This window comes from Homo sapiens, chromosome 21 (assembly GCF_000001405.40).
Source record: "Homo sapiens chromosome 21, GRCh38.p14 Primary Assembly".
NCBI lineage: Eukaryota > Metazoa > Chordata > Mammalia > Primates > Hominidae > Homo > Homo sapiens.
Window position 1 is genome coordinate 38,432,451 of NC_000021.9, and position 23,951 is coordinate 38,456,401.

Here is a 23,951-nt window from a genome sequence, read left to right on the forward strand (position 1 = left end):
GTCTCCCAAGAGCACCAAATGCACTGTGGGTAAACAACTCTTTCCAGGCCTCAGTTGGTTAATCTTCCAACCAGTATTTCACTGTTGACTAATGATGAGCATGGCTCCAGACTCTTTCCACGTGTTTATGTTATAATAAACATATGGATAAAGCATTTAACATGGTGCCTGGCACATGACCACGCCAGGTGTCAGCTATTGCTGTTAGTTCATTTCATCTGCACATCTCCATGACAGAAATACTCGAAAGCAGGAGCCTTGTTACAGATGAAGCACAGAGAGGTTGGATAACTTGCCCAAGATCACACAGCCAGTAGTGGAAGAATTGGGATTTGAACCTAGATAGTCATGGTCTCGACTCCAAGTACTTCACCGCCCCACTCTATGCCCTTGCTTGGTAAATCCGTGTGAGGAGTCTTTCATAGACCTAAAGCACCATTGAATGGATCCTCAGAAAACTTAATTTCATCACTATTAAGTATTCTAAAAGAACATCTTCAGAGTGGCCCTGAAGACAGTCATGGATGAGGGTTACAGACGTGAGCTGAGCAGGGCAGCCACGAAGGAGCAAGGCAGGGCCCCGTGGGAGACTTGGAAGGTGGCAATGTTTATGTAGAGATATAAATAGGTTTTGATAAGTTTGGTCTAAAAGAAATAGTCATCTCAATTTGCAGTTAAGCGTTCTATGCTTCTCCCCAAAACTTCATTGCTGTGCCCAGCAGGGTGCATGTTTTACACAGATGATGGGCAAACATTCTTAAGTGCAAAAGGAAACCAGACAAAAAGTCCCCATGACGAGACAGCCGAGTGGGAGTGCATCTGACTCTGACTGCAGGCCCAAAAAGATGGAGGTGAGGACCAGGACAGGAGCTGGACCACTGGGGAAGCAGTCAATCTAATTTTTTAAGATTAAATAAAATAAGTCCAAGATGAAAGCCTCCTTGAGCTGTCGTCCATACATAATACCCCTTAAACAAAAAAAAAGCGGGGTTGGTGGTGGGGACTAATATTACTGAAAAAACATACTGAGAAATGTAAAATTTGGTCTTTAGTCTTTGAAAAACAAAATAAACTTGGCATCTGACTTTGGTTTTCTCACATCAGAGTCTACTTACAGCGAGGCAATTTCCGTCATGGAAAGAACCCGCAATGAAATGGCACAGCCGTGGCCATTAGCTTGACAAGCATGGAGCCTCAGCCCTTGTGAGTGTGAATGGGCCTCATTTATCCAAGAACGGCACTGAATACATCCCAGAGGGGCAGCCCCAAGCTCGCTGGCCACATTAAATCTGATTCACCCTCACTTCAGAACACTTAGCAGGGGCCCACTCCTTGGAGAAAGTCCAAGGCAAGTCAGAATGTAATTGCGGAAATCAATATGTCTTCTTCTTTGAGTCAGTGGAGGCAAACCCGCTAATCCTGTCGAAAATCTACCTATTCTTCTAGAGCCATCCTCCTTCCTAATCCTCTGAATTCCTCTTGCACCTGGACACGACTTTCCAACCCCTTGTTCTCCATCACATGCTGGTGAAATGTCCCCGAACTCTTCCAAAGCTTTCTCCCTCCTGCTACCAGAGTGCTCTCCCCCAAACAGAAATGCAAGCTGCCCATGTCCAACCTAACCCCCATCATGGCCCAGAGCCCCTCCCTAGATTCTCCTCAGTGATCTGGCTCTGGAGCCCCTCAATTCACTCATTTGTTTAGCAAATATCTGTGGAGCATCTTTCTAGGCCAAGCACTGCCCCAGGTACTGGAGTTATATCAGTGTCTCTATTAACATGGGGCTGGCATTTGAGTAGCCAAAGCCCCTCTCCCCAACTCCATGTGCTCTGTGCTCAAAGACCACATTCCACATCACCCCCTAGTCTCTTCCCTTCAGGCCTTCACTTTTGCTACTCCCTCTGCCTTCAAGGCCTATGACCACCTGATACCTGCCCTATTCACCTGTTCACCACCTGGTACCTGCTCTATTCACCTGTCCATGCTCACCTCTAGGTTCTCTACAAGCCTTTCCTGGGCCGCCAGAGAGGAATGTCTCCCTTCCAATTGCACCATTCTCTGTATTTTCTCAGTAAGTGTCTGCAGGATGAGTGAGTACATTTATGAATGAATCTTCCATTTAAATATTGAGTTCCTTATCTCATACCTGCAGTGCAAGAGAAAGCCCCTCGTGTTGCAGTCAGAAAACCATTGCTGACCTTGGTTGACCTTAGATGGGTCACCTAACCTTTCGAGGCTCAACTCCTTCATTCATAAAAATGAATGGATGCTTTCTTGAGGTTGCTGTGAGGACATCCCTGAGATGATGCCTGTGAAGAAAGTCTGCAAACTGTGAAGCACTATACAGATTAACACAGCAACATACTGCATGTGCATGGCTGTGCATGCGTGTATGTGGGTGTAAATGTGAGGCTTTTTGTTCTTGGCAACTGTTCATAACTGTACCTCGGTGAACTCTTAGGTAGGTCAGGAAGCTAAGGTTTACTATTGTGCAGTGTTCAGCATGCAACTGCTTTTTGGAATGTCACTGTCTTTCTGAATGTTCCTTTTGGTTTATTAGGTTAGTTCACATTAAGAAGAACTTGGTGAGGAAGCCACATGGAAGAAATGGAAAGGCTTTCTTTGGCAGCTCTACCCTAAGAGGGCAAAGGGGTCAGTTCTGCGAGAGAACCCCCACAAGGAGGCTGGCCCGGGACAAGCATTCCAGGCCTGTCTCAAGTCTGAATACAAATAAATCCCTTCTCAGGTGGTTTTCTTCATAAGGATCCTAAAAGCATATACTTAGTCCTAATCGACTGAGCAAGCTCCTAATCAAGTTTCATAGTGTGAATCGAGGTCAGTCACCACAAAAGGTATTTTTAGGACCCCAGACAAGGAGGGGATTGTCTGGAGCGCTGCAGGGTAATTTGTGGGTCTGTTTTATTTCTGAATCAGAGGCAGTGGAAAAGCTGTTTCAGACCCCATGGCTGGAGCAGCGGGTGGAGCTCAGCAGTGATTCATGTAGAACTCCGGGCTCAAACTGAAACCGTAGATGTTTGTCTTCACAGCTGTGTGTTATTTTTACCCTTACTAAATATTCTCTCTTACACCTGGAATTTCAGCCTCTTCCCAACAGTCCTGTTCCCTCCCCCTTCCCTGAAGCAGTTGAAGACAAAATTAATTAAAAAGTCACCACCAGCTCACCAACAGTTAGTTCTTTGTCCCCTTAAAGGGGCTCGATGTTTCCCTGAGAAAGTTTCATTATTTAAGTTTATATTTCTCTTTACAGCCAAAAACGAATGCCAGCAAGACCGTGTTGCTTTTAGATCTTGAAAACTGGAGGGAAATGCACCATTTTGGGATTCATCATTTGAAAACAAAATGTTCTGTAGCATAAGATCTCTACAAGCAGTTACATGACAAAGATCAGATGTGACATCTTTTCTATCTTGTGCACGTCTTTTAATTTGTCTGAAAGACTCCTTTTTCAGAGAAGAAAGGATTGAGCCCAATAGCCAGTATGGTGCTTCATGTTTTTATAACAGGCCAGGTGAATCCTGGTAACCAAAACAATTTTACTTTCTTTTTTTCTTTTTTTTTTTTTTTTGAGACGGAGTTTTGCTCTTGTTGCCTAGGCTGGAGTGCAATGGCGCGATCTCAGCTCACTGCAACCTCCGCCCCCACTGGGTTCAAGCGATTCTCCCGCCTCAGCCTCCGGGATTATAGGCACCTGGCTAATTTTTTTTTTAATATATATTTTTAGTAGAGATGGGGTTTCACCATGTTGGCCAGGCTGGTCTCGAACTCCTGACCCACCTATTATTTTTAAAATGTGATTGTTTTGGAAACACCTGGTGAGGTTAATGTAAAGGTGAGTGCAGGTGAACTGACCTGATGTGATAAAGTAAGATAGTAATAAATGTTTCTAAAATGTGTAACATATACAAAAAATCAAAATGCAGTTGGCACTTGGATTTGGTGCATCTTGTCACTGCTTGTCTGACACGTGGAGAGAACCTTGCTATCCCTCTCAATGCAGGAAAGACGTTCAGCTTCTTCTAAGAAGCCCTGAGGGAGTGAAGAAGAGTCCAGGCCTGTGGTCAAATGGCCAACTTTCACTTTCACTAACTTTCACTTGAGCAAGTGACGAAAACTTTTGGAAACTCAGTGGTCATCCGTAAATGTGAATAATCATAATAATGTCATCTCATAGATGTTTGAGAAAACTGGACAATATGTTGTATACCAAAATCTATTAATAAATCATGTGGGTTTTAGAAATATGGGTTAATATTATCCCTTTCAGGGTCTTTTTCTCCTGCCCAGGTAGAGTTGATGGTACCCTCATATCTGTTATTGCTGGGCCCTGAACATCGCTCTGTACTGAATGTGTCTTATGATCTCACAGAATCTTTTTCACCTTTGGTAGACCATGAGCTCCTCTTAGTTCCTTTTTTTTTTCTTTCTCTCTTTTTTTTTTTTGAGACAGAGTCTTGCTCTGTCACTGGAGTGCAGTGCCGTGATCTCAGCTCATTGCAACCTCTGCCTCCCAGGTTCAAGTGATTCTCCTGTCTCAGCCTCCTGAGTAGCTGGGACTACAGGCACCTGCCACCATGCCCAGCTAACTTCTGTATTTTTTGTAGAGATGGGGGTTTCACCATGTTGGCCAGGCTGGTCTTGAACTCCTGACCTCAAGTGATCTGCCCACCTCAGCCTCCCAAAGTGCTGGGATTACAAGTGTGAGCCACCTGCACCCGGCCAGCTTCACTTAATTCTTAATCCATCTCCATCGAAGCTAACACAGTCCATGATGCAGATTAAACACTAAATACACGTTGGTTTCCTGCAGCATTTGTCAACTTCGACACTAGTGCCACTCGGAGCCAGGTCACTCTTTGGACAGGTGGGGGTGGGGGCTGCAGGGGCGCTGCCCTGTGTACTGCAGGATGTCCCCGGCCTCTACCCACCAGACACCAGTAACACCTCCCAGCTGTGACCAGCAGAAACACGAGCATTGGCAAATGCCTCTGGGGGCCACATCACGATGGTTGAGAACCACTGGGCTAATGAATTAAGATCCACTGAGCTCAGGCAAGGAGGCAAGAGCCTCTTGTTTTACCTGGTGTTTATTAGAGAGAAGTTCCTGTCCCCAGTGTCTGGGGTGATGCTTAAAAGGGGCCCTTAAAGGGGCCTCTATGCTCATGAGGATTCCTAGTTATGGTTTGTCCGTACCTTGTTTGGGGTACATTCCCCAAGCCTTGGCCCATCCTCGCTTCCTCTTTTCCTCATGCCATATGTCCAACCCATCAGCAAAGCACGTTAATTCCACCTTCCAACTATACCCAGGATGCGACTGCCTCTCCCACCCTCCCTTGCTACCACTCTCACCCACTCTCACGCAGATGTCTCCCATCCTACACCCACATTTTCTCAGGAAGACTTCAACACAGGAGCCAGAGAGGCCCTGCAAAATCTAAGTAACACTATATCCCTCCTTTGCCTCAAGTCCCCTAATGATTTCTGAACTCACCAGAAAGTGAAAGTCAAAGTCCGGCAATGGCCCCACGGGCTCTCCAAACTCATCATCTATTACTCTTCTTCTTGGACACTAAACAGCAGCCACGATGGCCTGCTTGTTGTCCTCGAACACCTCAAGCTGACCTCAGGGCCTTTGCATTTAGCATTCCCTCCTCTTGGAATATTTTCTGCTGTTTAATCACGGGCATTCTCCCTCAACTGCCTTTGCAGCTTTACTCAAACATCACTTTTTTGTGATCTTCTCCAGCCACCTTCTTTAGAGCTGCCATCCGCTTCACGTCTTTATTTTTCTCCTTAGCATTTACCATGATCTAACCTGCTGTGTTTTCATAAGTGGTCTGATGTCATGACCATCTTCACTGCTAGAAAGTGAACTTAGTGAGGCAAAACTTTTTTGTATATTTTATCACTCTATCCCAAGAGACTAGGAAAGTAGGTGCTCAATAAATATTCATTGAATGAATGAATGACTCCACGCATAAACAGTATGTCTAAGGCCCTGATGGACCCAGCAGATACTCCCTACTTTTTCTCATCTCCATCACATGACAAATGGCATGTTTTTTAAATAACATCTATAAAACATCCTGCTATCTGACCCGAGGCTGGAGTTATTCATGGCATGCAATGAATCTATCCCAGAGAGAGGCAAGGCCCAGATAGCATTGTCTCTCGCTGCACAGGCCCAGCTGGGCAAAGCGCCAATGTGGCGGGAGGGAAGGAGGTATTTCTCAACTCAGGCAAGGACTTCTGGGGAACAACCCCACCTCCGCGTAGATCCTCCCAGATCATTCGCTGGGTGGGTCACCTTTACCCAGCTGCTGGGCTTTCTCATTTTTCATCTCCTTGGATCGTGCAACAGAGCAGTGGTTCTCAGACTACCAGGCATCGGAATCCCGCAGAGGGCTCCTTCAAACACAGCGTGCTGGGCTGCCACCCAGGTCTCTTCCGATTCTAGGGCAGGGCCTAAGAAGCCGCATCTCAAACAAGCTCCCAGGTGGAGGTGATGCTGCTGGTCCCGGAGCCCACGCTGAGAATCACCACACCGGGGGAACCCTCACTCAACAGAATCAAACATGGCAATGGCTCCAGGTGGCCTGCAGACTGGGCTGAGGGGGGACTCACAGCATGGCACATAAATTGACTGAGTTCCACCTGCAGTGAGCCTCCAGGTGGGCTTCACGAAATCGCCATCGCCTGTGGAAAGGGGAAGGTGCCACTTAGTGTAAGCTGCCTGTGATCTGGCTGGCCTGAGCTGGGGATGCTCAGATGGAGGAAAAGCAGCCTGCTCTGCACAGACCTGCCAGCCTGCTCACGAGAAGACAGTTTGCTTGTGGACCATGAGTGAGCAGGTGTTACCTCTTGGCTTATCCTGCTAGTCTATCATGACTTGAGCTTTGGGGACCTCACAGCAAATTCAGGGCATTGGTAGGGAGCTCACGAGAGGCTGAGCAGGCGCTGAAACTCCCAGCCAGGCCCTTGGTGTGGATGGCACAGGAAAACAGCTGGTTTTAGTTTGGCCACACACTGACAGTTCTCCATTGTGTGAACACTTGGGGCTTTCTGGTGCGTGAGGCTAGAGTGAAGAAAGGGAGAGGGTGGCTGTGGACCACCGAAGCTGAAAAATGATGTCCTGTGTCTACACAACGTGCAATTAGATTACTGTCTGCAAGAATGCTGCTGTTTGATCTGGCAGTGGCCAAGCCAAACCCACAAGGACATCCCAGTTGGCTCGCAAAGCAGTGGTTCCTTTCTCTCCTGTTTTTCTTTTATTATGCTTTACAGAAACTCTATTATAATGGCAACAGATCTCGTTTCACCACTTGTATTTCATTTCAGGAGCTTGTAAGCACGTTAGGACTGAGGTTTTGTAGAATTCCACTATTCGGTTGGGAACTAAGTCCTTCCTTTCTCTCAAAGCACATGGCCTTTTTCTCCGTGGGTACTGGATGGATAGGGATGGACAGAGGGCACTATTCCCAAGCTGGGTATTCTAGGCAGAAGGAGGTGGGCCATGTTCTGGAAAGACCTAAGCTGCAGAGAGTGCACTTCTCCCGTGGAGGTGTCTGCAAGATAGTCAGGGGCCACAAAGGTAACAGCCCACAAGTTCTAGCCAAAGAGTAATATTTGACTTACGTAACTTCCCCTTGGACTTGACTTCAAGTGGCATGTGCACTACAGGAAAGCCCATTATGCATAAGCTAAGAGGAGGGACAATTAGAAGAAGCTATTGGGCCAGGGGCCAGGAGATGGGCTAACTCCCTGGCACAGCTGGCCTGGGGCTTCCGAGTCTGGAAGGATGCAGGTGCAGGTAGTGGAGCGTTGAGGAGCTGCACTCCTGGCGGGGCTCCTCCAGAGGCAGGCAGCCACACACTGCTCTGCAGCATCTCATCTGTGAGCCCCTCCGTGGCAGAATCTGCGTCTCCGTGAACCCTGCCTCTGCCCTGGCCCCTCGAGCTGGGCTGACACAGCCCGGTGCTGGTTCACGGTGTCCAAAATAAAGCAGAGTGAATCACGCCCATGTTCCCTTTTATGGAGCTGCACCTGACATTCGTAAAGAGCCCATAGTGAGGCCGGGCATGGTGGCTCACGCTTGTAATCCCAGCACTTTGGGAGGCTGAGGCGGGTGGATCACCTGAGGTAAGGAGTTCGAGACCAGCCTGGACAACATGGTGAAGCCCCATCTCCGCTAAAAATATGAAAACTAGCCACTCGGGAGGCTGAGGCAGGAGAATCGCTTGAACTCGGGAGGCAGAGGTTGCAGTGAGCCGAGATTGTGCCATTGCATTCCAGCCTGGGTGACAAGAGCAAAACTGTCTCAAAAAAAAAAAAAAAAAAAAAAAAAAGCCCACAGTGAGTCAGCAAAGCCTGCGGATGGGATCCCAGGCAGTCCTTTGTCTGCCCCAAGGCTGCCTCCAACCTCTGGCTGAGATGAGTCTTAGCTCCACTGATAACTGTTCAGCTTTCTTTTCCCCCATTCCCCTTCAGGAAGCCCGTTGGATTGTTAATAGCAGAACACTGACTCACCACTTATGTTTCAATTCTTTCAGATCACTGAGCTTGAGCAGCCCCCTAGTGAACCTCTGACCTGACACGCCACCCCCTTTACCACCCGCTGTCCAGTCAGGCTGAGCTCCAGCAGCAGCGGTGAACTGGCCCCCCAGAGCACACTGGTTTGGAGATCTAAAAAGTACAATGGGTCACCAGTCACTGATGAGTGCAGCATCCCTGGAAGTCAGGTGTGGGGGTCAGTTTCCTGTGTCAACTTGGCCAGGCCGTAGCACCCAGTGACTTAATCAAATGCTAACTGAGGTTGTACTGGGAAGGCATTTGCACAGGTAGCTAGTCAGTTGAACTTGACTAAAGGAGATGATGTCAGATAATGTGAGTGGGCCTTGTCTAATCAGTTGAAGGCCTTAAGAACAAAGCCTGCGGTTTCCAGAGCAGAAGAAATTCTGCCTACTTTCCAGCCTGCCAGCCTCCCCTGCAGATCTCAGACCTGCCCACTCCCACAACTGCATTAGCCAATTCCTTCAAATAAATATCTTAAAATGTAAAAATATCCTATAAGTTCTATTTCTCTAGAGAATCCCAACTGATACACCAGGCCAGCACCCAGACACAATGCCAGGAGACACACTGAGCTCTGGGGGAGACGGGCATGAGCTCTGTATCTTTCTCTTCTACAAAGGGGATTAGTGTCAGCCACTCCTCTCCCTCCCCCTGGAACATCCTTGTGGGTAGGGGACGATGACACTTGGTGACTGGTTGACATCTGTACATTGCTAGATGCCTCAAAGCGGAGGCAGCCTCTGCAGCCAGTGTTCCTCCCCTGCCTATTACAACCCAGCTGCCCTTTTCCTCAAAGGAGGCACGTAGGCCTGGATTGAAGGCAGATGAGGTCCACCTTGTTCCCTTCATGAACAGCACCTGCCAAACCGACATCACCGAACCCACCGGAGGACCCGGAGGATGAAGAGGATGACATGATGGTCTTCACTCGGTATCCACCCACCAAAACACATCACCGATGCTTTAGGAGCTGGAACAGCATTGAAAGTTTATGACGGCAGCAATCTGGGCAATGTTAGAATTCTATGAGCCCTGAGAGAGGAACTCTTAAAGTTCCCATTGTTTCCTTGAAAGAAAATGTCAAGGCCGGGCGCGGTGGCTAACACCTGTAATCCCAGCAATCTGAGAGGCCAAGATGGGTGGATTGAGTTCGAGACCAGCCTGGCCAACATGGTGAAACCCCATCTCTACTAAAAATACAAAATTTAGCCAGGCATGGTGGCGGATGCCTGTAATCCCAGCTACTCAGGAGGCTGAGGCAGGGGAGTCGCTTGAACCCCGGGGGGTGGAGGTTGCAGTAAGCTGAGATCGTGCCACTTCCCTGCAGCCTGGGTAAAAAAGAGCAAAACTCCATCTAAAAGAAAAATAAAAAAGAAAGAAAATGTCCAGTTCCCCTGAAAAAGATGTTTCCCGGAAAGAGACCCTCAGCGCAGCACCAGCCTTTCACTTGCCTGACAGAAAAACCACCCAAGAGCTTTCCCCAGTCTGCTGCGCTGAGGGCCCTGGGGCGGAACTGCCCTGGTGTCTTTCTTATGGACTGAAGCTCCTGGTGTCTTTCTTTCTTATAGACTGTAGCCCCTTGCCTGGGGCTCAGGGTTACCCCAAACTCCCAACCTGTACCCCTGGGGTCACAACACAGGCTGGAAAAGCTTCCCCATGCCTGGCCAGGAGGGAGAGGAGACATCAGCTACCAAGGGGCATCACAGGCTCACACTAAGGAAAACAGTGTTTGCACTTCTCCCACAAACAGAATGCTTATTTTTTTATTTTTTATTTTTATTTTTTTGAGATGGAGTTTCTCTCTGTCGCCCAGGCTGGAGTGCAGTGGCGCGATCTCGGCTCACTGCAAGCTCCGCCTCCCGGGTTCATGCCATTCTCCTGCCTCAGCCTCCCGAGTAGCTGGGACTACAGGTGCCCACCACCACGCCCGGCTAATTTTTTGTATTTTTAGTAGAGACAGGGTTTCACCATGTTAGCCAGGATGGTCTCGATCTCTTGACCTCGTGATCCACCCGCCTTGGCCTCCCAGAGTGCTGGGATTACAGGCGTGAGCCACTGCGCCCGGCCAGAATGCTTATTTTATTTTAAATTCGGGAGTAACACAGTGAGAACAATAGAAACTTTCATTTCTGGAGCACTGTTCTCGCCTCCTCACTCAGTCTCCCTTCGGAGGCTTGCTGAATCCAGACTGGCCCCAGGCCAGACTCTCAAACAAGGGCCAGGACATGGCTCACTCTGCCTGTTGTCCATCGGAAATCATCTCAGTGCCCTTTTGTCTGAGATGTTTCCTTCCTCTCTCCCCACCTTCCAACATCCCCCTCCTCCCTGCAGGTGAATTGCTCATAGGTAGAAATTAGCCTCTGCAGAAGAAAAGCTTTAGAAATGTGTCCCGGTCTTAGTGTCTCCGCCGTGATCACGCTGGCATATATGGGATCATATGACCCCACCCAAAACAGAATTCATTCAGTGTTTCCAGGCTGTGTTCCACCAACTGATCTACTGCATAAACACTGCTGCATTCTTTAGAACATGATTACCCTGCATTCTTCTGTGTTTCAGAAATATATATAGTTAATGATCAACAGAAACATTGTATCAAATGCATAGGATTTATGGGTAAAAAATATTTACATGTAATCATTAATTTCCCACAACTTTGGTGTCCTGGACCCATCATTGCATTTTCTATCCAGGTCCTTCTGTAACTCCAGGAATGAATCTCTTGATGAGATTCAAAAATATTTACATGTAATCATTAATTTCCCACAACTTTGGTGTCCTGGACCCATCATTGCATTTTCTACCCAGGTCCTTCTGTAACTCCAGGAATGAATCTCCTGATGAGATTCAAGATGGGCCTGCCTCGAGTTCCACTTAAAGGACCAGTGCGGTGGCAATATGTAGCATCAGAGCCAGTGCACTTTCAAGAAGCAGATGCACAGACGCAAACTGACTTCTCAGAGTGGAGGAGTGTTCTGGCATCTCCCATCTCCCCATCTGGCACGTCCAGCCTTGCCGTTGACATTCCCTCTAGGACACTGTGACTTGGCACCTTCATTAACACCACACTAGGAATTGACGCAACCGTTTCCAGACTTATAAACTATGACACTTATAATAAACCTTTTTAGCGTTAAAACATATATGTAACAAAAAGGCCCCATTACAGCTTCAACAGAGTGGAAAATGCTCAGGGTGTGGAGTCAAACACTCCTGGTTTAAATCCAAACTCTGATTCCATTTAAGTGGTGATTTGGGGTCAGACTGGAAATGCCTGATCACAGGTTTCTTCATCCATCAAATGGGGTCAAGTATACTTCATGAGGGGCTGCTCGGAGGACTGAGGGGCTACTGGATATAAAAGGGCTTTGTACACAGTAAAGTTTCCGAAAATGTGAGCTGTTCTTATGACCTGATGGTAGATTATGCAACATTTCGAAGAAATAATCTGTTCTTTATCCTAAGATTTGATATTCTTTTTCCTGAATATATATGGGGTATTAGATCATAATTGAAATTAATTTTACTTTTCAAAACTACACAGAATTCAACACTTTTTGAGGGCCAGGGACAGTTCTGCATTTGGTAATACATTTTACGTGACAGTTGTATGTTCATGACAAACTCAGGGAAGCTAATAATTATGGGAGACACTGGAGAGGGCTTTATGTGTAAGCTAAGAGGAGGAAAAAAAAAAAAAACAAACAGCAGGCATTAAGAGAAGAGGACCGCAGAGATCAGAGGGTGGGGTGAGGGTGGAGGGCAGACAATGGAGATCCACTAGCAAATTCAAGTGGCTTGGACATACGCCGCACTGCCTGGCCACTAGCTGACACTCTCCCTTTGTGAAAACATAAGACGGCATTATTTTCCAGGCAATCAAACCTCAGATGAATTCTGCCATATGTGGGCAAGGCTCCCCTCCCACAGAGCCCTCGTGCCTGGGAAATAGAATTGAACACATCTTCAAAGAGAGTTCTTGGTAAATATACTACTAATTTTACAAACTCCATCCTCTACACAAACCACTGGAGAACACATTTTCCCAGCGCTGTCCAACGTCACCGTTCAATGGCCTTTCTTTCTTTCTTTCTTCTTCTTTTTTTTTTTTTTTTTTTGTTAGCCAGAGTCTTGCTCTGTCGCCCAGGCTGGAGTGCAGTGGCATGATCCCGGCTCACTGCAACCTCTGCCTCCTGGATTCAAGTGATTCTCCTGCCTCAGGCTCCCGAGTAGCTGGGATTACAGGCACAGTGGCCTTGCTTTCTAAGTCAATCTTTAGAGAAGCATGACTGACTTCCACTTTGCCTTTGCAAAGGATAGGAAAATGGGAGGTCAGGGAGAGAAAGGGGCGGAAGTCTCCTTACCTTGAGCCATTCACCTGGCTAGGGTTACATTCCATTTTGATGGTGACCCTGGCTGGGGGTTGAGACAGCCAATCCTGCTGAGGGACGCGTGGGCTCATCTTGGAAGTCTGTCCATAGTCGCTGGAGGAGGACGCGGTCATCTCTGTCTTAGCCAGGTGTGGCGTTCCGTAGGCACACTCAAACAACGACTGGTCCTCACTCACAACTGATAAGGCTTCCTGAATGCCCAAAGAAACACATAATTCAAGACACTCCAACAGACAGTCATGTTTCAAAAAGTTGTTGATTTCAGAGTCCTTTCTAACTGGGACCACATTTTAGATCGTTTTTATGGTCTCCATTTCTACCTTTCAGAAGAAAAAAGTAGCTTGTTTTTCTTTCCTCGGGACAGTAAGAGTTAGAAATGCCAGCCTAGAAAAACTTTTATGCAGGTCTCGAAGCATCCCAGGCTTGACTGTGGCAGGGCAGCAGAATATCCACTTTAATCTCAACTTAAGGAAGTTGAATTTCAAAGGTCTTAGAAGACATCCAATTGCATGTGTCACTATTTGACAAATGCAATCTATAATTCAAGCAGACAGGGTACAGAGCGGTCATGAGGATTAAAAAAAAGAAATCTGAAGGCCAACACCTAAGCATCTGGCAAAATTGCCACATTCCTGGGGATTTTGCGGAAGAGGGACTTAGAGGAAGACAGAGGGATCAATGGAGCACCAAAGGGCAACCAACCAAAGATACAAACGTTTCCACTCTAAGTTATTAGCCGAAGTACAGTTTCAAGTGGTGCTTCCATGATGGTGAGCATCTGGATGATAAATGAACCAAAAAAAAAAAAAAAAAAAAAAAAAAAGCTGTGAAGTATCCAGATGCTTCCAAACAGCAGGATGTTTAAAATATCTGGATCACTGACAAGCTCTTTTTTCCCCTTACTTTCAATTAATATCTTCGCTCTTTTGCATGATTTGGTGAGAAGAAATAGCAATTTGTCATTGTTGGATCAATCATTTTTCGTGGTTTTAAGTCAAACAAGTGGTTAGCCAATGGCTATGTTTATATTCTACAGCCAATGAGCAACGGCAAGTTTGGGAAATTTCAACGACTTAAATGATGGCTTGTGCTGCAATGACACAGAGCTGTTGTGATACAATCCAATTTTGGTTCTTATAACAGACAAAAAGAATTCCACATGAATGCTCATTTTTATATTAGTCCTTTGGCATCCTCAGTATTGACATCAACTAGTGAGAAGCAAAGGCTAGTTGGGCCACACATTTTTATTTAAAAAAAAAGAAAAAGAAAAGAACTTTGGAGGCAGAGCAGGGGAGGCAGGGGAGTGTGGGCTGCGCAGACCCTTCCAGTCCAAACTTGTCATCTCCAAATGAGAAATCTGAGACCCAGAAAGGTCTAGAGCTAATCTTGAATGAGCTGGCCATGATCAACCAGGGGATTAGTGATGGGAATGACTTGTGTATTACCATCTGCCTTCTCCTTGCCCCCACAGCCCTATGATGCCCTTTGTGACATTTTTTTCCTTTGGGACATGTGTTTAAATTAGCACCCTCTTCCCCTTCTCTGAGATGACCTTTACATAAATAAGGGTGCTTCCCATCAGTAATCACACCCTAGAAGCAGCCCTTCTGAGATGGAGAGCTTCCTCTCCACCCAGAAGGATCAGAATTTTTAGGAAACAATCACCCCCAACTCCACATCTACTCTGTCGCTCGATCCTCCACCTGTCCCAGGACCAAGTTTTTTCCTTAGCTTCCCAAGTGCACAAACTTCTTTGCCAGACACACGGCACTGAGAATCAGCAAGGAGGAAGAATCAAAACAAACTCAAACCTCTGTCTCTCAAAGTGGTGGTCAGGTGTCTGTGCTAAAGCAAAAGCCCCCATCCTGGACTCCATAAGTATCTGTAGAATTACAGCCCTGTGACACCCTGGGAAAGACTAAGCCTGCTGTCCAAACAGTAATGCAAAATGTACCAAAGAGTCAGGTAGGCCAGACAGAGAACCAGAATCAGGCACAAGGGAAAAAAGTCATCTTGAATAGACAGCAAAATCAAACTCATCAACAACCAAAAATGATACGAGGCAGTGACACAGAAGTTGACAGTACAGAAACGGCATCCTAGATGTTAGGGAACCTGAAATTCATGGCTTTCTCTTCCAGTCACAATTGAGTGGCCAAAACAAGGAATCTAAACACATAGATGTGGGTTTCAAAGTAAAATCAGCACCATAGACTTAGTCATGCTAATTAAGACAAAAATTAGACCTTATTAAAAAATTTTTGCAAAACAGATACTCCCTTCCCATGGTGGCACTGGCTAGTGTGTTTTACAGGCTCAGAACAGGAAACAGAGCTGATGGCTGCTGCCTCTCTCCTTCCTGGGCCTGAGACTCGACCAAGGCTCGCAGGGGAATAACACACTATGTAATGTTAGCTTTGGCTCACCCATGATGAGAAACATGAACAAATGTGTGATTTATATCAGAAATTGGCGAAAACAGGTTATATATATAAGAAACAGGCTAAATTTAAAATTACAAACTAAAAAGGAAATGGCTGCAACAATAACAAACAAGCAATAACTTTAAAGTATTAGTATTTCTCCAAGATAAAGTAAGCTTACTTCTGCAAACAAAGCCAATAGCCACAAAAATGTAGTGTAAGTTTGAATAATAAAAAAAAGACCAAAATATTAGAACTAAAATGAAGCTTAAGTGTGTGTTTGTAGGGGAAGGAATCCATTCTCACATCTGGCAAAGCATTATTTCAGCACATGGTTTTCTAAAGAAAGAAATCAAAGTTAATTGAGATCGATTTAGGAAGGAAAAAACCCTCAGAAATGCTAGAGATGGGGGAGGCATGCCTCCTTTTTTTGCATCTTAAAATTCTTCTCACAGCTAATATTGCACAAAAATGAGGAAGGGAATATAATTCAGAATATTGAAAGCAACCCCTCAGTTGCTTTTGTTCATTAGAAGGGAAAAATTCTGAAAATAAGGAAGCTTCAGGATAAACACTTCAAAAGAGGTGAAATACAGTCCACATTTTGAAAAGACAGAGCAACCCAAACTATGCCCCAAAGACTTTGTTGATTGTCACTCAACAAAGGCTGCTGAACACCTAGGATGAAGTACAGCTCAGGAAAAGGAAACAAATGAATAAAGAAAATCTCTCTCACATACACATTTTGGGAGTAAGAAGAAGCTGAGGGGTTTTCACAGACCCATTCCCACAACAGCGGTCACTAAAGTTAAGTGCTGCTCTTCAGAAGCAAACCAAGGCACAGCCCTGCCACATCTTTGTCCTCCCACTTGACTTGGCTGTTGGCAGGTTTCATCATCCCTTCGGTTAAAGCTTGAATGGACACACGCTGCTGCATAGGGCCCTCCCTGCCTGGCAGCCCTGTGACTTCAAAGGGGAGAGAGGATCTAGCCCAGTAGGATTAAAACCAGAAAAAGAGTGCTGAACACAGGCTGCTAATCAGGACCACATGAGTTCTTTAACTCCAGCTCTGGGAGAGACTTCCTGGCCTTGACTGACATGTCTCTCCTTCCCTGCAGCCTGGCTCCTCCTCTTTATAACTAGCAGATCTCACCTACCTACTTACCTGCCTGCCTACCTGCCGGCCAAGGTAGGCAGCTGCCTTAGTTAGCATGTATAGATTGTTATTGCAGAAACTCTGGCCAGCCACAAGGCTTGGGATCTGCTTCAGTGGCTTTATAACAGAGAATATTTTAAACGTCAAAATCTGGCAGATATGTGGCATAATCATTTCATATGCCTGCTTCTATGTTACTATAAAAAGACCTGAACTTTAGATTGGTGTTTGCCAATGTGTGGGGTGTTTTTTTCTGTAGCTCCAGGAAAGTTGGGATATTCCCATCAGGCAAATGGCAGGCTACCAAGCTCATTTTTAAATAACTTACGAGAAACACATAATTCTAAGCAAATTACCCCCAAACAAAAGGTACTACTGTGTTAGTACTGTAGTATTGATTATTTCATTTCAATACGGAATATACCAATAACACATGAGGACCATTCCTTTGGATTTTGGTCATGGGATAACAGTTCCAGAAATGAAGGGAGGTCCCACCAGGTTATATTTCATATTATAACTCTAAAATATGCATCTATTTTCAAGTAACTAGAGTACAAAAAAGGATCCAAAATACATTAGAACACTGAAAAAGAAAACTAACAAAGTTGAATGCATACTGACATTTTCAGCAAAGTATTTCAGGAATCCTGATGCCTTTCTATAACAGATGAATACTTTGCAAGATGCCTATTTCTCAACCAAAGTATTAGAAAATAAAGGCCCAAAATTGATTCTAATTTGTGATCCTTATAGCTCATAAAAATATTACATTGTTAATACAGAGAATCCATCATACTTAACCTCTTTTGAAAATTTGGGAGTGGTAAAGTGTTGAAACTGAGAAAATCTTTAAGAATGGTCAGGTGAATTTCACATCTGGAGTAAGCAAAGGCATCCATGGTCCTTTCGTGGTTTTCAAAAATTAGGAAGATGGCCAGAACTAGGCCTCTCGAGAATTGGATTATCAAACCCACCTTCAATGTTTTCAAGTCTTATATGCTATAATTATTTGATAATTATGAAAAACAAATGGAACAACTAAGTGGAACAAGAATTGTATGATCATGATCATGCTTAAAAAAAAAAAAATCTTGGTTCGGGCATGGTGGCTCACCCCTGTAATCCAAGCACTTTGAGAGGCCAAGGTGGGTGGGTCATGAGTTCAGGAGATCGAGACCATACAAAAATCCAAAAAAAAAACAAAGAAAAAAAAATAGCCAGGCGTGATGGTGGGCGCCTGTAGTCCCAGCTACTCAAGAGGGTGAGGCAGGAGAATTGCTTGAACCCGGGAAGCGGAGGTTGCAGTGAGCCGGGATCACGCGACTGCACTCCAGCCGAGGTGACAGAGTGAGACTCCATCTCAAAAAAATAAAATAAAATAAGAAATAAAAAATAAAAAAATCTTAAAGAAGTCCTTGCTGCTATCACAACACAGTGTGGAGATCATTCACTTAGGAAGCCAGCATCATCTTCAATCAATAGCCTACTTTTTCTGTCAGTTTTAATCCCATTACAATCCAATACAAAACCCTTCCTTAAATTTCCCTCACATATAACCACGCAGAATTTGGTACATCACTTAACTCCCTATATTGCCATCTTTTAACCACTTTCATAAATAGCTTATCCACCAAATAAACCAGGTTACCTTAAGCACTTTCATGCAATATCCTCTTAAATTCTATTTTGTTGATTACAAGATACACCACTTGTCACATTTTATCAGCTCTGAAATATGAAAATGAAAGGCTTATCCTAGGTATCAGGCAGCATTTCTTCTTCTCTGATGGCAGATAAAATAATGGGACATTTTATATCCAATGACATCTTACATTTTATGAAAAATGATCATTTAATCCTTACAATTGTCCTATAAGGTCAGCTGTGATTCTTGCCCACCCATCAGAAAGTGCGATTAGAGAAGTAACATCAACAGTGAGGATGAGGCAGAAACAGGGTTTGTGTCTGTGAATGGAATCATTCCCCAAGGCTGTAGACTGGCCACTACCTGGCTGTTACTGGAAGGAAGAAGTTGGATTAAGAAAAGTCACACGGTGGAGTGTTTTGGTGCCTGCTCTTGCCATGAGAGATGGAATCACCTAGAGAGAGACAGAGAGAGAGAGGCTGGTAGAGGGAAGAGACAGAAGAAAGATGAAGGGATAAGTGTCCAGAATCCCTGGATCTGGGATGGAATAAAGGATCTGGATGGTAAACGGAGAGTGCTGGGAACCAGTAAGGACTTCTCTAGGTATACCATGCTCTTCTATGAGCCTAGGGGATGTGTAGCAATGGGCCCTGCATACAGTTAATCATTTCTTTTGCAATGGCTTAAATCAACAACCTTGTTCTTTTCTTTGATTAATCAGATTATTCAGACACAAAGACATGGCCAGGTGTTGGGATGTGTTCATTGCAGGTGGATGCCTGCCTTCTCTTAATGAGTACTATGCAGGAAAACTAGGACAGGTAGGAGTACCATTTATAAATATGCTGGAGCCTATGCCACTTTGGGCGGCCTTTAGTGGATGTCTGCAGACCTAAGGATATTGGAAATCTATCTATTAGGCTGTCGCAGGCTCTATTGTTTATAGTTTCTCTTCAAGGCAGCACATATGCAGTAGATGCTTCTAAAAGGTCTAGTATCTAATTGTATTTGGAGGAGGAAAAAACAACACAAACAAAATAGACAATGCACTTAGAGAAAGCTCTGCTCTCCCACCATAAGCCTGACAAAGATACTCCAGTCCTTCAGGAGTTTTTATTCTAAATGTGTGCACTTTTGCAATTCTGATGCCACCAGTATCTCATTAAACAAGAATCTTCATCTGACCAGTGTGTCTTTTATTTACAACACACAAAAAAGCGAAACGTGGTAAGTGAAAGAAGCTTCACAAAGCTGGGTATGATCATTTTTGCCCCTTCTTGATATGATTTTCTTTTCTTCTTAATTCTTCAGAGAAGGAAGTATTAACATCGTATATTAAATGCAGCATCTAGCTTTGTGTTCACGTTTTTCTAATTTAACACATTGCAATTTTAGTCCTTCAAAACTATAAAAAAAATCTTGGATTAACCTCAAAGGAAAAATGTATGTAGGCAAATGAAGTCCATCTAAAGAGAGTATTTCTCCAATATGGTATCACTTCAGTGTCAAATAATTTCACCACTCACAACACTAGTCCAGTGCTAAGAAATGAGACCCAGAACTAGTGTCCAGATACATTTGCACATACAGATATACAAACACATACACATGCTTACATATGTACACATATACATGTGTGCATGCATGCAAATACATACATGCGCAAATACATATATACATACACACACATATATACAGATACGCACATGCATATACACAAATACATATATAAGTGTATGCATATATGCAAATAGATACCTACAGAAATACATGCAGATATACAATACATAATGTATATACAAAAATATCATACATATGTATACATATTACTAAATACATACTAAGATAATAAGGAGAGATGAAAATCTTTATCCTTATTATCTTTATTAATAGAACGCTTTAGAGGACTTTCAGATATTCTTTATCTTTAATCATATCCACTAGGGCAAATGTTGCCTAAAAGATACAGAGAACCTGGCTTCTTCCCATTTCACCTCTGCTCCTTCCTCTCTCATCCTAGAAGGTGCTTTTCCCTATGCTCAGCACATCCCTTCAGAACAGACTTAGCTGGGGATCCATCCCCTCCATGTCCTTCAGCCAATTTTCCCGGCTCTGGACTCACAGACTTTCTCAGGGCTCTGAGAAGGCCTGGCTGGTGCCAGCAATTCTCTTTGCCCACATACTTCTCCCCTGGCCTTGCCTTTATTCAAATATAAGCATTTTCAGGGCTGGCTCCTCTGTATGTCTGCCTCTAGAAATAAGATAATTTCTTAACCTCAAATGCTTGTTGGTGTTCATATTAGCCCTAGGACTAAGACATCAGGTGATATTACAGCCCCATCATAATGCTATAAATGGGATCCACAAACTTCTATTACATCCAAATGAAGAGACGTGTTTTTGTGAGATGAATGGATTGTGTAGCCAACGCCCAGGAGTTCCAGGGAGTTTGGAAAATAATTGCCATTGGCAATATGTCTGCAGTCATACTACCAAAGAGCGTATTATTGCAGAGTTTCACCTTCAATCCACATAGGCTTAAATAGGGACTTCCTATAGCTAAGCAACCTATGAACAAAATAAGACTTACTGGAAAATGAACGTTTGCAAAAGAAGGAGGGAGCATTCAATCTGGAAAGCAGAAACTCTAGAAATATTGTGAAAGATTGGAGCATGGTAGAAAAATGTTAAAGAAAGAATAGTTATGTCCACATAATGAAAATTAGATTTAAATGAGCCTTGGGAGATCAAGAATGTCAACCAACATCATTTTAAAACAACTCTGTTTTCTCAGTGCCATGCAGAATAAACCTCGAATGCATTTGAAAGGACAATGAACTGGGACTCTTTGCCCTGGCAAATGCCATTTAACTGTTTAAGAAACAACATGCCTGTGATGTGAATAGCTTCTTATTTTCTTCTTTAAAGAATCGCTTTTTTGGCTGGGTGCAGTGGCTCACTCCAGTAATCCCAGCATTTTGGCAGGCCGAGGCAGGTGGATCACCTGAGGTCAGGAGTTGGAGAGCAGGCTGGCCAACATGATGAAACCCTGTCTCTACTAAAAATACAAAAAGTTAGCTGGGTGTGGTGGTGTGCACCTGCAATCTCAGCTACTCAGGAGGCTGAGACAAGAGAATCGCTTGAACCCGGGAGGGGGAGGCTGCAGTGAGCTGAGATCGCGCCACGGCACTCTAGCCTGGGCAACAAGAGAAAAACTCCATCAAAAAAAAAAAAAAAAGAAGAAGAAGAATCACTTTTTCTTCCCAGTAGGCTTCTTTCCTTCTTTGGAGATGAGCAAAAAGTATAAAAACATCTGTGGAAACCTCCTGTTTGTATGTTTTACATTGGAATGGGTGCAAAAAATACACTCACTATTCCTTTACATCCTTCTAAGAGGGCTGTTTCTACTCTTGACACTCAATACTTGTTTTTGTTTCTCTAATCACTGTTATACGTTACTCACGAATATTCATCAAAACCCTTTTCCTTATTTTTTATCTAGTTTTAAATAATTCATTTGAGATAAAAAGAAGTTTTTCTTTGCTTTTTTTAATCACTCAGTGGAGGATGAACATGAAGCTGTACCAATGGATAGGAGACCGTCTGGTAGAGCACGGGAGCCAGGGATAGGGATCTGAAGATGGAAGATGTGAGTTTCAAGCTGGGCTCTGCCCTTGCTCTGGGAATCACCTGGGTAAATCCTTTAACCCTTTCCTGCCCCAAGTGTGAGCTGAGAGCTTGCCAGAAATGCAGATTCCGAGTCTCCAGCCCTGCTGAGTCAGAATCTGCTTTGTAACAACTTCCCCAGGTGAGCTGGGTGCCTGCTCACTTCAACAAGTGCTGCATTATCCTTTTTTGACTCTCAATTTCTTCAACTATAAAGGTGGTACTGATGGCAACCAGCTGCCGAGCAGCTCTCTCCCAGGACAGTTAAATGGGCCAAATAATCTAGTGTGTGTAACAGGTTTCATAAATCTTAATATTGTATTTAAATTATCATATGATAGAAGGGTGATGTGACTGACTCCAAACCTCTGCATGTGAACCATCAGAATTATCCATTCTAGTCATATTATTCTAACAAGCCAGATGCAAGGAAAATCACAGTCTCTTGTGTGCAAATTATCACTTATTTTTTGTAAGTACTGGATTTTCAAACCAAGTATCTACCTAACAGAGGGGAAGGGAGATCTAGCATCTTTTACTTCAAGAGCACGTCTGTCACTTTGATTTATAGCCTTTTTGGTCCCTGGTCCAGTTCTTTTGTGGGTTTTCCATTCAAATTCTACATTAGTTTGTTTAATGTCAATTAAATCAAAGCTTTGTGCAGGAAGGAATGAATCCTGGTACACTCCCCAGCGTGCTGTTGGTATTCTCTACATAACAAGATAATAAATTAATAGATATACCATGGTCTTATAACATAATGTTCTTTTTCTTTCTTTCTTTCTTTCTTTCTTTTTTTTTTTTTTTACCTAGAATAGCACAAGGCACAAAGTTGATAGCCCTCAAACTTCTGAAGAAAAGTCTTTTCTTCCAGGATGTGGAATCCATAATGCTTTCTATGTTAACTTTCCCTAAAAATTGTTGAATTTTTCATAAACTTCTATGAGGAAGTGTTTCCATGGCAGTCTGGCTAAGAGGTTCACACCATCATTCTGTCCTGGTGATTTTTGAAACTTACAAGCCCAGGTTGAAACTCAGGTGATTCAAGGCTTGAGAAACACAAAGGCCAAGCTCAAGGAGTAGCAAAGTTGCTTGCACTTTTTTTCTATTGGCATGGTCCTTCTCTGAACACCAGGGAAGGGGTGGTGCACCACCTCTCTCCTCTTCAGAAGGAGCTCCGTGAAAAATCGGCAGTTTTATGCTTGGCCCTTTCAAAACACACAAAGGCTAAAAATACAGTGTGCTACGCATCTGGAATGTGTCTCATCTGTGAATCTCTGACACATGGATTCATTGTTTTCGATAAAATTCCAGGAATTTTATTCATGAGAAAATTCTGGCACAATGGAAAACCCTGGCAAGCAAAAGATAGGGGCAGCAGATGTCCTGGCCTCCACCCACAACTCTGTCTCTGCTTTTAGCTAATTTTCATCAGGTGTCACTCTCATGCCTTCAAACACTCAATTCAAAATTTCCCATAAGACGGGGGTGAGGGGGTGGGGGTGTCAAAACAGCCTTAATTTTTTAAATAATTGGTACGGTCCCCCCCCTCCCCACAGACAGGTGTGTCACACCAGGTTCAACATGCACGTGCCAGGATGCAGGATGGGCACTTTAAGAAGAAGCCGCAAGACCACAGGGCCACTGGCCATGGGGCTCCACCACTCCGTGCCCCTCATGTACCAAGTCTTCAAGCTCCTCGTCTAAAATGAGGGTCTGGTCTACTGATGTTTTCTAAGACTCCATTTTGCACCAAAATGAGATCGATTTGTTTAACTAGTAACATCCTCTTTCAGCCATAGCCAGGCTGCAGTCTCTACCTCCTCCATCTCTGAGCAGACATGCAGATAAGGTAGAAATCTACCATGTATGGAGTTGCTAAAAAGTTCCTATGCATCCAGGTTAGATGCTAACTGCAGGGTCTTTCCCTGCTGCCCCCAGACTTTAATTTTCCTCAATCTTGTAGGTATCTCCTTCTGTGCTAATGGTAAGAAGCTAGTCAGCACCCTGAGAGCTAGTGTTATGTTTTTAAGTGTGGAAAGGATCTACTCTCTTGCATGGGAATATGGCATCTG

The 23,951-nt window shown here is 44.3% G+C and overlaps 1 protein-coding gene across 9 annotated transcripts in view, besides 3 other annotated features; it reads right to left on the minus strand.

The window, feature by feature from the left end:
• Positions 1-23,951, minus strand: part of ERG (ETS transcription factor ERG) — a 294,523-nt gene that overhangs the window by 65,190 nt on the left and 205,382 nt on the right. For 7 of the 9 annotated variants that reach the window (NM_001243432.2, NM_004449.4, NM_001136154.1 and 4 more), the window contains one exon: positions 12,954-13,171. The exons of the other annotated variants lie outside the window; for them this stretch is intronic. In NM_001243432.2, coding sequence (NP_001230361.1) covers positions 12,954-13,171 — 218 coding nt within the window. The remainder of the gene's footprint in view (positions 1-12,953; positions 13,172-23,951) is intronic. 9 annotated transcript variants of the gene reach the window in all.
• Positions 6,566-7,065: an enhancer, noted in NCBI's record as "H3K4me1 hESC enhancer chr21:39810939-39811438 (GRCh37/hg19 assembly coordinates)". NCBI's record gives its function as "activates a minimal SCP1, AML or CMV promoter by ChIP-STARR-seq in naive H9 embryonic stem cells {active_cell/tissue: H9 hESC(naive)}" and the evidence as "EXISTENCE:reporter gene assay evidence [ECO:0000049][PMID:30033119]".
• Positions 15,961-16,637: an enhancer, noted in NCBI's record as "OCT4-NANOG hESC enhancer chr21:39820334-39821010 (GRCh37/hg19 assembly coordinates)". NCBI's record gives its function as "activates a minimal SCP1, AML or CMV promoter by ChIP-STARR-seq in naive H9 embryonic stem cells {active_cell/tissue: H9 hESC(naive)}" and the evidence as "EXISTENCE:reporter gene assay evidence [ECO:0000049][PMID:30033119]".
• Positions 22,341-23,951: part of a mitotic recombination region, noted in NCBI's record as "ERG recombination sub-region recombines with the TMPRSS2 recombination region. This represents the genomic range from 26 different ERG genomic breakpoints.", that runs on past the window's edge. NCBI's record gives the evidence for it as "EXISTENCE:nucleotide sequencing assay evidence [ECO:0000219][PMID:23447416]".